Source organism: Homo sapiens, chromosome 15 (genome assembly GCF_000001405.40).
Source record: "Homo sapiens chromosome 15, GRCh38.p14 Primary Assembly".
Taxonomy (NCBI): Eukaryota; Metazoa; Chordata; class Mammalia; order Primates; family Hominidae; genus Homo; species Homo sapiens.
Genome location: NC_000015.10, coordinates 30,120,117 through 30,133,416, shown reverse-complemented (window position 1 = coordinate 30,133,416; position 13,300 = coordinate 30,120,117). Strand labels below are relative to the sequence as shown.

At 40.0% G+C, this 13,300-nt stretch overlaps 1 pseudogene across 1 annotated transcript in view; it reads right to left on the bottom strand.

Moving 5' to 3' along the window:
• Positions 1–1,668: 1,668 nt before the first annotated feature.
• The window catches only part of ULK4P3 (ULK4 pseudogene 3), a 28,017-nt pseudogene continuing 16,385 nt past the window's right edge, over positions 1,669–13,300 (bottom strand). The window contains exons 4-5 of the transcript NR_026859.1: positions 5,654–5,732; positions 1,669–2,289 (exon numbers count right to left, since the gene is read on the bottom strand). The product of NR_026859.1 is annotated as a ULK4 pseudogene 3 (transcript). The remainder of the gene's footprint in view (positions 2,290–5,653; positions 5,733–13,300) is intronic.

Below are 13,300 nucleotides of genomic sequence, written 5' to 3'. Positions count from 1 at the left end.
GTGATCCACCCGCCTCGGCCTCCCAAAGTGCTGGGATTACAGGCATGAGCCATCGCACCCGGCCAAAGTGTTCATTTTTTTTTTTTTAAGAACCTACAGTTATGAAAACTAACTGGAAAGAAATGGGTTTTGGGAAAGATTGAGTACATTTTTGTGATGTTCAACATTATTTTTTCTTACAGTTTTAAAAACACAATTGATGTTTCTATCAATTTGACTTAAAAAAATTAAGAACTATATTAAAATTTACCAGCAGAGGGGAGTGAAGGAACACAAAGCAACTTTCAGTTTAGGGTAATTTTTGGGCATAAACAGGGCAGCAATGTCCTCAACTCTATTCTTCTTTATTAGCCAGTGAATCCATGTGAGCTCATTAAATGTTATTAACAGCTCAGTCTATAATGGAGGGCAAATAAAGAGACTTGTAGGTCACAAAGGTATTGACTTTTGATCAGAAGTTCCAGGGGGCGAGAAGAATGAACTAACTCCATGCATTCTTTTTTTGTTTTTGTTTTTGTTTTTTTTGAGACGGAGTCTTCCTCTTTTGCCCAGGCTGGAGTGCGGTGGCTCAATCTCGGCTCACTGCAAGCTCCGCCTCCCAGGTTCACGCCATTCTCCTGCCTCAGCCTCCCGAGTAGCTGGGACTACAGGCGCCCACCACCACGCCCAGCTAATTTTTTGTATTTTTTAGTAGAGACGCGGTTTCCTCGTGTTAGCCAAGATGGTCTCGATCTCCTGACCTCGTGATCTGTCCGCCTCGGCCTCCCAAAGTGCTGGGATTACAGGCATGAGCCACCGCGTCCGGCTCCATGCATTCTTATGGCCACATTTTTCCAGTTTGAAGTTTTATTTTCCGAGTTTCTTGAAACAATTGTGAAATCAGTTTTATTACACTAAAATCACTGTATTTTCTTATTTTTGGATATCTATTTAAAAATATTCATTTAGAATGACATTCCAGTGAAATACATTTTTAACGGCTGTTCTATGTCACAGGGATAACAATTTGACTTTCACAAACTGTATTTCAGACGTACAAGGTCTTCATTTTGATGAAGAGGGGCTGTGGGAACATAATCTGATGCCTGTTCAAAATGTACCAGAAGTGCACGCATGTGTATGCAGGCATGAGCGCACACACACACACACACACAAAACCCCATTGGGATTCCATTTAGCACACACACACACACACACACACACACACAAACCCCACTGGGATTCCAGTTAGCACGCACACACACACACACAGACACACACACACAGCCCATTGGGATTCCAGTTATTTACCTCGAGATGGATGCTTGCTGATGTTCCAAAACCTCTTTAGGTCTTAAGGCAAAGGGCCTTTTGAATGCAAAAACCCTTACCTAGATGGAATAGACAGCAGCAATCATTGTCAACAACCTGAAATATATATTGAGTAGTTCCCATGCTAGACATTAGAGACATAAAGATGCAGAAGAGGCCATCGCCTTAAGGGAAATAATCCCGTTCAGACAAATGAGAATACATTGTGTAATGAGCTATCTCTTATAGGAAAGATGAAGACCAATCACCAACAGACCAGAATTCCAATATTTCACCAACTTGTAATATTATTCCAACTTCTCCTTCACATTCACTTAATTCTCATAGAGCAGTAACCAGAGTTTTGTGTTCTTTTTCTTTTTCTCTTCTTCTTCTTTTTTTTAAAAAACAAAGTCTTGCTTTGTCGCCCAGGGTGAAGTGCAGTTGTGCGATCTCGACTCACTGCAGCCTCCACCTTTTGGGTTCAAGAGATTCTCATGCCTGAGCCTCTTGAGTAGCTGGGATTACAAGCATCTGCTACCATGCATGGCTAATTTTTGTCTTTTTAGTAGAGACAGGGGGTTTTATCACATTGGTCAGGCTGGTCAGTTTTGTGTTCTTACTAGAGAGTTCTACTCTGTTATGTCAGAGAAGGAAAATGTCTTTTGATTTCATTTCAATGAAATGTCTATTCATTAATTACATCTTCATTGGCATTTCATACAGGATTAAGACTATCTTCTTTGCCTTAATGGTATACTGTGTGCATTGTTCCTTACCCATCGTAGCAGCTTTGAAGGTCTTTTATCCATATTGGTATTTTCCAGGACCAGAAAACCAAGTCTTGAAAGAAGGACTTCATGTCTTATCCATGGACACGCCATGGTTCCAGAATGTGTTGTCAGTTGATAAGATAGGCTTGATTTGTTACTGGTCTTAATGAGGGCTTTAGGTCAGCACACCAGGCAATGTAGGAGTTCTGGGACTGTTAGGGAAGGCCTGATGGAGAAAATGGAATGTTAGCTGGGCTTTAAAGAGAAAGTAGAAATTAGATCACTGGGGGAGGGGGTAATGTAAAAAACATTCCAGGTAAGAGAAAGTGCTTAGCAAGTAAGAAAGCATCCAAAATATTAGAAAGTACCAGGCTGGTGCAGTGGCTCACACCTGTAATCCCAGCACTTTGGGAGGCCAAGGCAAGTGGATCACTTGAAGCCAGGAGTTCAAGACCAGCCTGGCCAATATGGTGAAACCCTGTCTCTACTAAAAATACAAAAGTTAGCGGGGCATGGTGGCATGAACCTGCAGTCCCAGCTACTTGTGGGGCTGGGGCTGAGGCTGAGAATCTCTTGAACCTGGGAAACAGAGGTTGCAGTGAGCCGAGATCACACCACTGCACTACAGCCTGGGCAACAGAGCGAGACTCTGTCTCAAAAAATAAATGAATAAATAAGTAAAATAAAAAATAAAATGCTTACAGGAACTTCAACCACAATTTTTCTTGTTCACTGATAGTAAATCTAATAGAGAATTCAGGATTTATCTTACACTTGAAATTTTGTTACTGATTACTGAAAAATTATCTACAAGCACCCAATTGTGAGTTTTACAGAAACCTGGTCTCAGGAGTTATGAACCAAAGATTCACCAGTGGACTCCGCAGAGTTTTCAGATCCCCTGAAATCATGTGCTAGGTGCTGACTGCATTTTTCTGGAGAGGCTATAATGGTTTTCATTCATCTGATTCCTCTCAAATGGTAAAAATCACCAGTGGAATGGAGCCACACATCCTGTAGCAGAAACTTCTAAAAAACCAGGAAAAAGATGAAACGTGGTACCATGTACCTGCTCAGCCTCTACAGATCCTGCTTCCAGAAGTTGAAACAAATTCTTAAAACTTGCACAACTTTTTTTCTAGTGCTTGAATGACCTCTAGTGGCTCCTTAAATTATCACAGCCAATTGCTCACAGCAGGAAATAGGTTGATGTAAAAGAAATTCACAGATTTTGCCATTAAAAGTAACGAACTAAAGAACTAAAAGGTGTGGAGAAATAATAAAATTAAGATGGCATCACAAAGGAGCACCTGGCTCAATTTCAAGTTATTATATAAGCTCCCTACTATCCAACCAAATGTAGTTCACAATACAGTGTGTGTAATTCAAAACAGTTCACCAGATAGTTCAGTACACACCATTTTTTAAATGAAATAAGTATGATTTTCCCTAAGGTCTTGCATTTCAAATTAATAAAGCATCAGCAAACACCCATGAAGAGAACAGTACCGGAATCAAAGATACAAGAACCTCGGGAATTAACACCCACCCTTTCCTCTCAGTTGAGGCAGGACCAGGAATACAACGTTGACAAAGTATAACTGGAGTAGCAGAAATACTTTGAGAATACAAACTGGCCACAGAACTCAACCTGAGTGAGCACAAGTAACAAATATGGTCCAGGAACTGCTGGGCCAAACTCTCCAAGTGGGAGTGCAGCAGCCGCAACAGCAAGTACCAGTAGAACAAGGGCAGCACATCACCCAGGGTGACAAGCAGGTCCCAGATTACTTCACATGCCCTCTGCCCAGTCCCTTGAGAATTCCTGCAGCAGCAAAACATACCATCTTCCAGGCACTGCTACAGGGAGTCCCAAGCATACTGATACACTTTCATTCACTTATTTCAAAATATTTGTCAGTATCTAGATATACACAAGACACTGTCTAGGCACGGGGGTGGAGTGTTGAACAAGACAATTCACAATCCCTGTTCCAATGGAGCTTGTAGTCTAGTATGGAAAGAGAAATAAATACATAAAATGCCAGGTGGTGATATATGCTGTGAAAAAGATCAAGTAGAACAAGGGGTTTGGAAATTACAGGGTGCCCATAGTATTCTTTTCTATAAGTTGATCATCTCAATTCAGACTAGCTGTTCTTCAAGCACTCAATAGCCACAGTGGCTGGTGGCTACTATACTGGATAGTGGAACACATCTGAAACTATCATCCATGCCTTTTTAATTCACAATCTTTATCCTCTTTCTTTCTGAATCCTAAGAGAATTCATCCAACTGATCTTCAAATTCACTAACTCAGCTTCCTAAAGTATCCATAATCTACTGCAACTACTGAATCATTTAATTCAACAGTCATATTTTACATATTCAGAGGCTCTTTCTTCACAGCTTCTGAGCAACAAATGCCTGCTCTGACGATGCATGAATATCCTCTAAAATCTTGGGACTTTGTCTTGGACTTTATGTTCTCTCCCATCTTCTACAGCTACTCCATCTCACTGGAGACCTTTTGCTCTGAGCCATCAGAAGGAACCCCCATTTTTAAGATCCTAAGCCTTCTCATCTTCCTGGTAATACTGCCCTATATGCTCAATCTTTTAGATAAAAATCTACTCGACACATCTCTGAGAACCAAGTTGGGTACCATCAGTAATCACACAGGTCACAATTCATTTATTTTAGGCCCCCCAAAAAAGGAAACAATTAGACTTAGTGGCATTTTACTAGTAGCTCAGAGATCCAACAGTTTGCAGGAAATAGAGATGTAATTGTAAGCAAGGGAAATACAGTGAAATTATATTAATCTCCACCCAGACACTGTAAGGCCAGCTGGTATACTATCCCAGCAATTGGCTACTGCAGTGAATGGCACAGAGAGAAAAGTTTCCAATTCCTCTTGAGGCTCCAAATACCAATTGGCTACTATAGTGGACAACACAGACATAGAAAGTTTTCCAATTCCTCTTAAAGCCCCAAATACCACACAACCAGCTTCAGCTCTACAAAATCCTCTCTCCCTTACCCTTTTTAACTTCCTTCAGGACCTCTTGCTATTTCCCCTAAAAAGCCTTGGTTCTTTTCACCTACACTGACTCTTGAGCCTCTCCCAGTTCAAGGTATAACACTCTATTACCAATAAAGTGTAATATACATTAACAGAATAGGTAGAAAGTAATCTTTCATACGAAAACACTAAAAGCCAGAAGAATTTGAATTTTGAATTATAAGCTATGATTTAATTAGGAAATACATTAGCTGTAACAAAATGTTGGACAGACTACAAGAAAACGGGAAATGAACAAGTCTTATTCAAAAACAAATGAAATAATGATGAGTAGGGTTCACGAGCCTTGTTAACTCTGCTGTGCCATTTTAATGATGGACTACATTGTAAATGAGCCGCTATGTTTAAGCCTAAAGGTCTGTTGAGGTGATAAGTTTTTGAACAATTTCCACAATCCCACAAAGAAAAGTCAAGTGAAGGTCAAGGAAAGCCACATGTTCTAAATTACAGAATCAACAACAGTATTTCTTGTCATTCATCACATTTCAGTCATAAAAGACATTACCTCAACAACAGGTGTATTTTCCTGGAGATCAGTTTTGTGCGAAGCCAGTAAACCAATCACCCGAGCAACCTTGGCCCATCTGTAAACGGAGAGAAAACAGGCTCTGAAGAGAAGAGTCAGGGACTGAGGAAACTAACCCCAGCTAGTTACATTATGCAATGATGAGCATTAGATATAAGACTGTGAAATAAAAATTGAATGTGACAGGTCAGGCCCACACTCCCCCATGTACACAGCCCAGAGAAACTCTCCCTCGTATACACAGGGAGACATGAACTGTAATGTCTGCTGTAATTCTGCAACAGCAACAAAATTTAAACAAGTTATGGTGTAATAGTAAAAGGAAAAACAAAATTTGTTAAAAGCCTTAACCAGAGAAAAGAGCAACACAGTAATTAATCATTTTATTGCTGAGTACAGAGGCATTTGGCTAAAGGTCTCTTTTCTACTTGTTAGTAGATCAGTGAGTTTCTACGTAAGTGTTAAATATCTGAACAATAACATATCTGTATGTATTCATTTTAAAAGAAATTTTTACAATCAAAAGTTTCTAAAATATTGTACTATTTCCATAATCACTAGTCTTAATGAGGTGTGCCTTTAGTATCCAGCAGAAAACTGAATTTGATAAATCACAATTAATAAATCACATTCAGTGTGATTTGAAAAGGTATTTCATGCAGAAAAATTAGTTTTGATGAGAATTTTTTCTAATTGAAACAAATGGTGAGTTGATGAGAACTGCACTCATTGAGTGATGTCTGCATGTTGTCTGGAATAATCAATATGTACCTTAGTCAGCTTTTATTTTTTACCTTCTTAAAAGAAACCTATGTGGCACCCATGGAGGAAAACAAATCAGACTCAGAGAAGTACTTCAGGGAAAATGTCTGCGTTATCACAACTCTAACATACAGAAATAATTCTTAGAAATTTCAACACTTATTAAATTGCCCATTAAAATTTCTTAACATATACAAATTAAAGAAGACCTAGGCAATTGTAGAACTAGCATCCTACCTCTGAATAAAAAGATTATAGTTTAAAAGTAATCATTTTGAAAAATATCTGTAGGATAATTGGAAAAGCCATCCTCCCACCACAACCCCCCAAGTAGCTGGGACTACAGGCGTGCACCACCACGCTCAGCTAATTTTTTTACTTTTTGTAGAGATGGGGTCTCGCTATGATGCCCAGGCTGGCCTTGAGCTCCTGACAAACAATCCTCCCATCTCAGCCTCCCAAACTGCTGCGATTACAGGTCTGAGCCACTGCACCTGCCTGTCTATCTCTTTTCAAAGACAAGCTCAAAATACTTTTGAAACACTGAACCATTTTTCAATCTATAAAAGTAAATAATGGCTACCAGATTTAATCAATGGAAATAAAAATGTATCAACAAGCCAATTATTTTCCCTAATATGACCAAAACAATTCCTATTAGAACAAAAGAAAACACACTACCTAAAAACCCTATACTTTTAAAATAGAAACTTTAAATAGCTTATGAATAGTCACTTTTTACCAAAATCCTAAATACAAGTACCACATGCCCCATAGACAACACCCTCACAGTACAGGTTCCTTCTCAAAATTCAGGTTTTCTCAGGTCACCACTCCAGGTGCCCCCAGTGACTTGACACTGTACCTCAGAACCAACCCATCTCCATGACGGCATCTAAGGCACCACTGTCTACCAAACCTTCGTGCACTGACAAATGTCCCACATCTGCACTGTTCAATCCAGTATCCACTAGACACATGACTATCAAGCACATAATATATGACACATGCAAGTGAGGAACAACAAATTTTATTCAAATTAATTTTTTTTTTTTTTTTTGGAAGACAGGGTCATCCAAGCTAGAGAGCAGTGGCGCAGTCTCCGCTCACTGCAATGCCTCCCGGGCTCAAGTAATCCTCCCAATTCAGCCTCCCAAGTAGCCGGGACTGTAGGTGTGTGTCACCACACCTGGCTAATTTTTGTATTTTTAGTAAAAACAGGGTTTCACCATGTTGTCCAGGCTGGTCTTGAACTCCTGAGCTCAACTGATCTGCCCACCTCAGCCTCCCAAAGTGCTGGGATTATAGGCGTGAGCCACTGTATTTGGCCTTAATTTTTATTTTAAAAATTACCCCCACAGTTGAGGGTGAGGGAGACAGTGCCCTGGGGTAATTACTCATCTTTCATGTGCCTAGTCCTGGTTACCTCGTAAGTAGGACCGATAACAATACATACCGCATGTTGTTAAAAGAATCAAAGGAGATAATCCATGTGCAGAAAGTACCATTGTGTCCGACAATACATGCTGAATGAGTAAGCTACTATTAATTTAACTAATTTAAATAACCCCCATGAAGTGAATGGCTACCACATTAGAGCAGAACTAAAATTTTGCAGTTACTTATTCATTCATTGACTGGTTTATTGTCTGTCTCCTCGACCAGCCCAGAAGATCCATGAAGGCAGGACTGTATCCCAATCGCCACTGTGACACCTAGACAGTGCTTGGAGCGCACTCGGGCATCTAAAAATGTTGGTTGAACAAATATATCAACATCAAAAGCAAAATAAACACATTAGTAGGAAAGGAGTGCATAAAAGTATGGCTGTCCAAGGCAAACAAAATGCAAACAGGATTGCCAATGTAAATCTCAGCAGAATTCAAGGCTAAACTCTTCAGAAGAAGATTCCCTTTAAACGAAACACCATATGACCTACAGAAGATCTAAGATGTGAATCTTTATACACCAAATAACAAAGCACGCAAAGTAAACCCATGGTAGTGGTAAACTTCAATTTTCTTCTCTTCCAAGCACAGAGAGAAGGCAATAACGAATATATTAATCAATACATTCACACATTCAAGCATTCTAAATAAAACTAATGAAGTCAAAGTAACAGACGTATCTATCAAACTCTACACCCTACAAACAGTGACCACCCTTACTCAGTGGGAGGCTGCATAGGATGGTGTCTAACACTCTAGAATTCAAAGTCTTGGACCTAGCTCTGGCCCACCATTGGAGGTGAGGGAGACAGTACCCTGGGATAATTACTCATCTTTCATGAGCCTGGTTTCATGTTGTTCTAAGAATCAGGAGATAATCCACATGCAGAAATTACCACTGTGTCCTGACAATTTGTGCTGACTGAGCAAACTACTAGTACTACATTATTATCAATAGTTGACTACATTCATGGCATACATTAAAAATGATTTTATATTGGACCACAAAGAAAAATTATTAGAATTCCCTAGGGCAGAAATTATAAAGGACTCATTTTGATGTAGTAAAAGGAAAAAAGTAAAAATAACAAATACAAACCAAAAAACCTAAACACGTGTGGAGTTAAAAGCACTTCTCCTGGGCATGGTGGCTCACGCCTGTAATCCCAGCACTTTGGGAGTCCAGGGCAGGCTGATTACTTGAGGTCAGAAGTTCAAAACCAGCCTGGCCAACATGGTGAAATGCCATCTCTACTAAAAAATACAAAAATTAGTCAGGCGTGGTGGTGGGCGCCTGTAATCCCAGCTACTTGGGAGGCTGAGGCAGGAGAATCGCTTGAACCCAGGAGGTGGAGGTTTCAGTGAGCCGAGATCGTGCCACTGCACTCCAGCCTGGGCAACAGAGTGAGACTCCGTCTCAAAAATAAATAAATAAATAAAATAAAGCACTTCTAAACCTTATACATCATATTAAAAAATAAAAACTTTGGCCAGGTACAGTGGTTCACACCTGTAATCCCCAGCACTTTAGGAGGACAAGATGGAAGGATCACTAAGGCCAGGAGTTCAAGACCAGCCTGGCCAACAAAGTGAGACCCTGTCTCTAAAAAAAAAAAAAAAAAAAAAAAAAATTTAATTTAGCCAGGCATGGTGGCATGTACCTGTAGTCCCATTCCAGTCTGGGGAACACAGTGAGACCCTATTTTTTTTTAGAGTGAGTCTCTAAAAATAATAATAATAATAAATACATAAAAGAAACAAAAGGAAAAATAAAAGGGAAAGGGAAAGAAATAAAGCATCCGTAAATCACAATCGTGTAAGTAACACAGATGCAAACTTATGAGATATTCTCTGTCTTTAATGATTGCACACTGAACACTTGACACTCACTTTTCTGAACCCTCCAGAGTCTCTAAAATACAAGCTCTTTTTATTAAATGATAATTGGAAACAAAAAGGAGGGCTAAAAGTGGACTAGAAAGTTTGAGAAAATCTCAGATGACATGCACAAATAGAATTAAGACTGACAGAGAATCAACAAAGGAATCCCCTGTCTAAGAACCACAGGTAGACAGACGTTCCCAAGGAAGCCTCAGGGACTTGGAATAAACAAAGACAAAAAGAAAGAATGAGCCACAGGACAATAATCAGATTAAACAACTGCACAAGGAAAAATTGTGTCCTTGTACAAGGAACAGCAGAGCCAATCAGGTCCTGTCTCTTTTCCATCTCCCTTCCCTGGTACACAGAATAAACCCTGCAGCCCTGGCCTCCTGAGTAAATGTGGAAAATCATTCCTACAGTGAGCAATCCACCTTGCTCACTGGATGGATGGATGTGGGAAGCAGCAACTGTGGTCCTCCAGATACCGAAGCGGGGAAGGGAATAAATGAGGAAAGCCAGCTCCACTGCAAAGAAAAACCCACCCTGGCAATTGCAGAGGCCTCCAGCCTGCCTACTGATCTTCAGCCAGCTGGAATCCCAAATTAAAGTCAACCAGTCAACAGGCCTCACCTACCCACATACCAGCCCTTTCTTTAAAGGAGAAGCTATTGGAGAAAGAGACTTAGGCAAGAATAAAGGAAACTCATATTGCCAACTTCTATACCAATCAATTTAATCATTTATTCATAATATAAATGAAGAACCAGAGATCACCAGGCATTTGAGAAATAAACAGCATTAAAAAGCAGGACCATGATGAAAAAGAAGTGACCTGCAAGTTCAAGAGATAAGAATACAATGTTCATAATCCTAATTTTGTTCCCTTTTTTTCAAAGTCCAGGTTCCAGGCTTATATTATATAATCCTAATGTTTAGCCTTAAATATTAATAACAATATTTAATTCTAAATTCTGCTCCAAGATGAGGATTTTTATAATCCTAATATTTATCCTCAAATTCAAAAGTATATTATATACCAAATATAGGCAGCTAGGAAAAAGGACCAATCAGAGAAAAAGAAAATGAACAAAAACTTTCAAATATGATTGTTGAAATTAAAAAATTAACTGGAAATCCTAAATAATAAAATGAGTGGGGATAAATATCAAGTTTGAGAGCTCAAAGATAAAGTCAAGGAAGAGCAATAAAAGAAGAAAGTTTGCATGGACACAAAGAGGGAACAATCGACACGGGGGCCTATTTAGGGTGGAGGGTGGGAGGAGGGAGAGGATCAGAAAAAATAACAATTGGTCCTTACCAAGCTTAGTGCCTGGGTGACCAAATAATTCATACAACAAACCCCCATAACATGAGTTCACCTATATAACAAACCTGCATGTGTACCCCTGAACCTAAAATAAAAGTTTAACAAAGAGACTTTGGCAGTTCTTCAAAAGGTTCAACACAGAGTTACCATTTTATCCAGCAATCTCACCACTGTAGGAGAAATAAAAACGTATATGTTCACACAAAACCCTGTGGACAAATGTTCAGAGCACCATTATTCATAATAGCCAAATGTGGAAACAACCCCAAATGTCCATCAAGACCACATAAGCAAAATGTGGAATAGCCATACAAAGATTATTCAGCTAGAAAAAGAATGAAGTACTCACACATTCCACCATACGGAGGAACCTTGAAAACATTATGCTAAATGACAGAAGCTAGACACAAAAGGCCACACACTGTATGATTCCATTTATATGAAATATCAAGAATAGCAAATCAGCTGACAAGAAGTAGATTAGTTGTTGCCAGGGGTTGGAGAAGAATGGGTACTGGGTTTCACTGGGTGAGAAAACTGTTCTCAAATTAGATAGTGGCAATGGTTGAACAGTTTTCAATATACTGACACCTACTGAACTGTACACATTAAAATGGTGAATTTTATGGTATGTGAATTATATCTCAATAAACAAGAGAAAGTGAGAAAGCAAAAGAAAATTTGAAAGAAGAGTCATGAGACACAAACTCCCACACCCATCCTGTAGGGGTTTCAGGAACAGAAAAAGGGTGAAATAGAGAGGAAGAAATCTAGGAAGTAATATAATAGCTAAAGGAGGGGTGAGGAGGCTGGGCATTGTGGCTCACACCTGTAATCCCAGCACTTTGGGAAGCCAAGGCGGGAGGATCACATGAGGTCAGGAGTTCGAGACCAGCCTGGCCAACATGGTGAAAACCCATCTCTAAACTAAAAATACAAAAATAAGCTGGGCATGGTGGCGTACAACTGTAATCCCAGCTACTTATGAGGCTAAGGCAGGAGAACTGCTTGAACCCGGGAGGCGGAGGTTGCAGTGAGCCAAGATTGCGCCACTGCACTCCAGCCTGGGCAACAGAGCAAGACTCTATCTCAAAATAAATGGAAAGAAAAGAAGGGAAGGAAGGGACGGGAGGGGGGAAGGAAGGGACGGGAGGGAGGGAGAGAGAGAGGAAGGGAAGAAGGAAGGAAGGAAGGAAGGAATTAAGGAAGGAAGGAAGGAAAGAAGGAAGGAAGGAAGCAGGCAGGCAGGCAGAAGCAAATTAGTAAAAAGAGATGGCAGGCAGGCAGGCTGAAGCAAATTAGTAAAATGAAATTCCTAGAGACAATCTAGTAAAATTTACAGGCCTGGAATAAAAAGAAAAGCTAACTCAAACAAGACCTACAAAATAGGGAGGAAAAAAGAAGGTAAGGTTGACTCCCAAGTCCTACAGAGCTACAGTTAGTAAAGAGAAGACAGCTCAAACTCCAAAGCATGGCACAGAGGTAAGCCACTGAGAGGCCTTCTTGAAAACAAAACAAAACAAAAAATCTACCAGCTGGGTGCGGTGGCTCACACCTATAATCCCAGCACTTTGGGGGGCCAAAGCGGGTGGATCACCTGAGGTCAGGAGTTCAAGACCATCTGGCCAACACGGTGAAACCTCGTCTCTACAAAAATACAAAAATTGCTGGGCATGATGGCAGGTGCCTGTAATCCCAGCTACTTGGGAGGCTGAGATGGAATGATCGCTTGAACCTGGGAGGCAGAGGTTGCAGTGAGCCGAGATCACGCCACTGCACTCCAGCGTGGGCGACAGAGCGAGACTCAATCTCAAAAAAAGAAAAAAAAATTGGCAAATGACTTGACTAGACCTTTCTCCAAGGAAGATATACAAATAGCCAACAATCACAAAAAAAGATGTTCAACATCACTAGTCACAAAATACAAATCAAACCCATGAGATACTAACTTCATACCCATCAGGTGTGAAAACACTAATGTTCATAGCAGCATTGTTCACAATAGCCAAAAGATATAAACAAGCCAGTGCCCAACAACAGATGAAAAGATAAACTGTGGTATATTACATACAAAGGGATATTATTCAGCCTTAAAAAGGAATGAAATGCTGACACATGTTAGTTACAACATGGATAAACCTTGCAAATGAAACCAGCCCAATTGTCCTATAGAACTGATGTTTACAGTCTTTTAAAATAAAGATA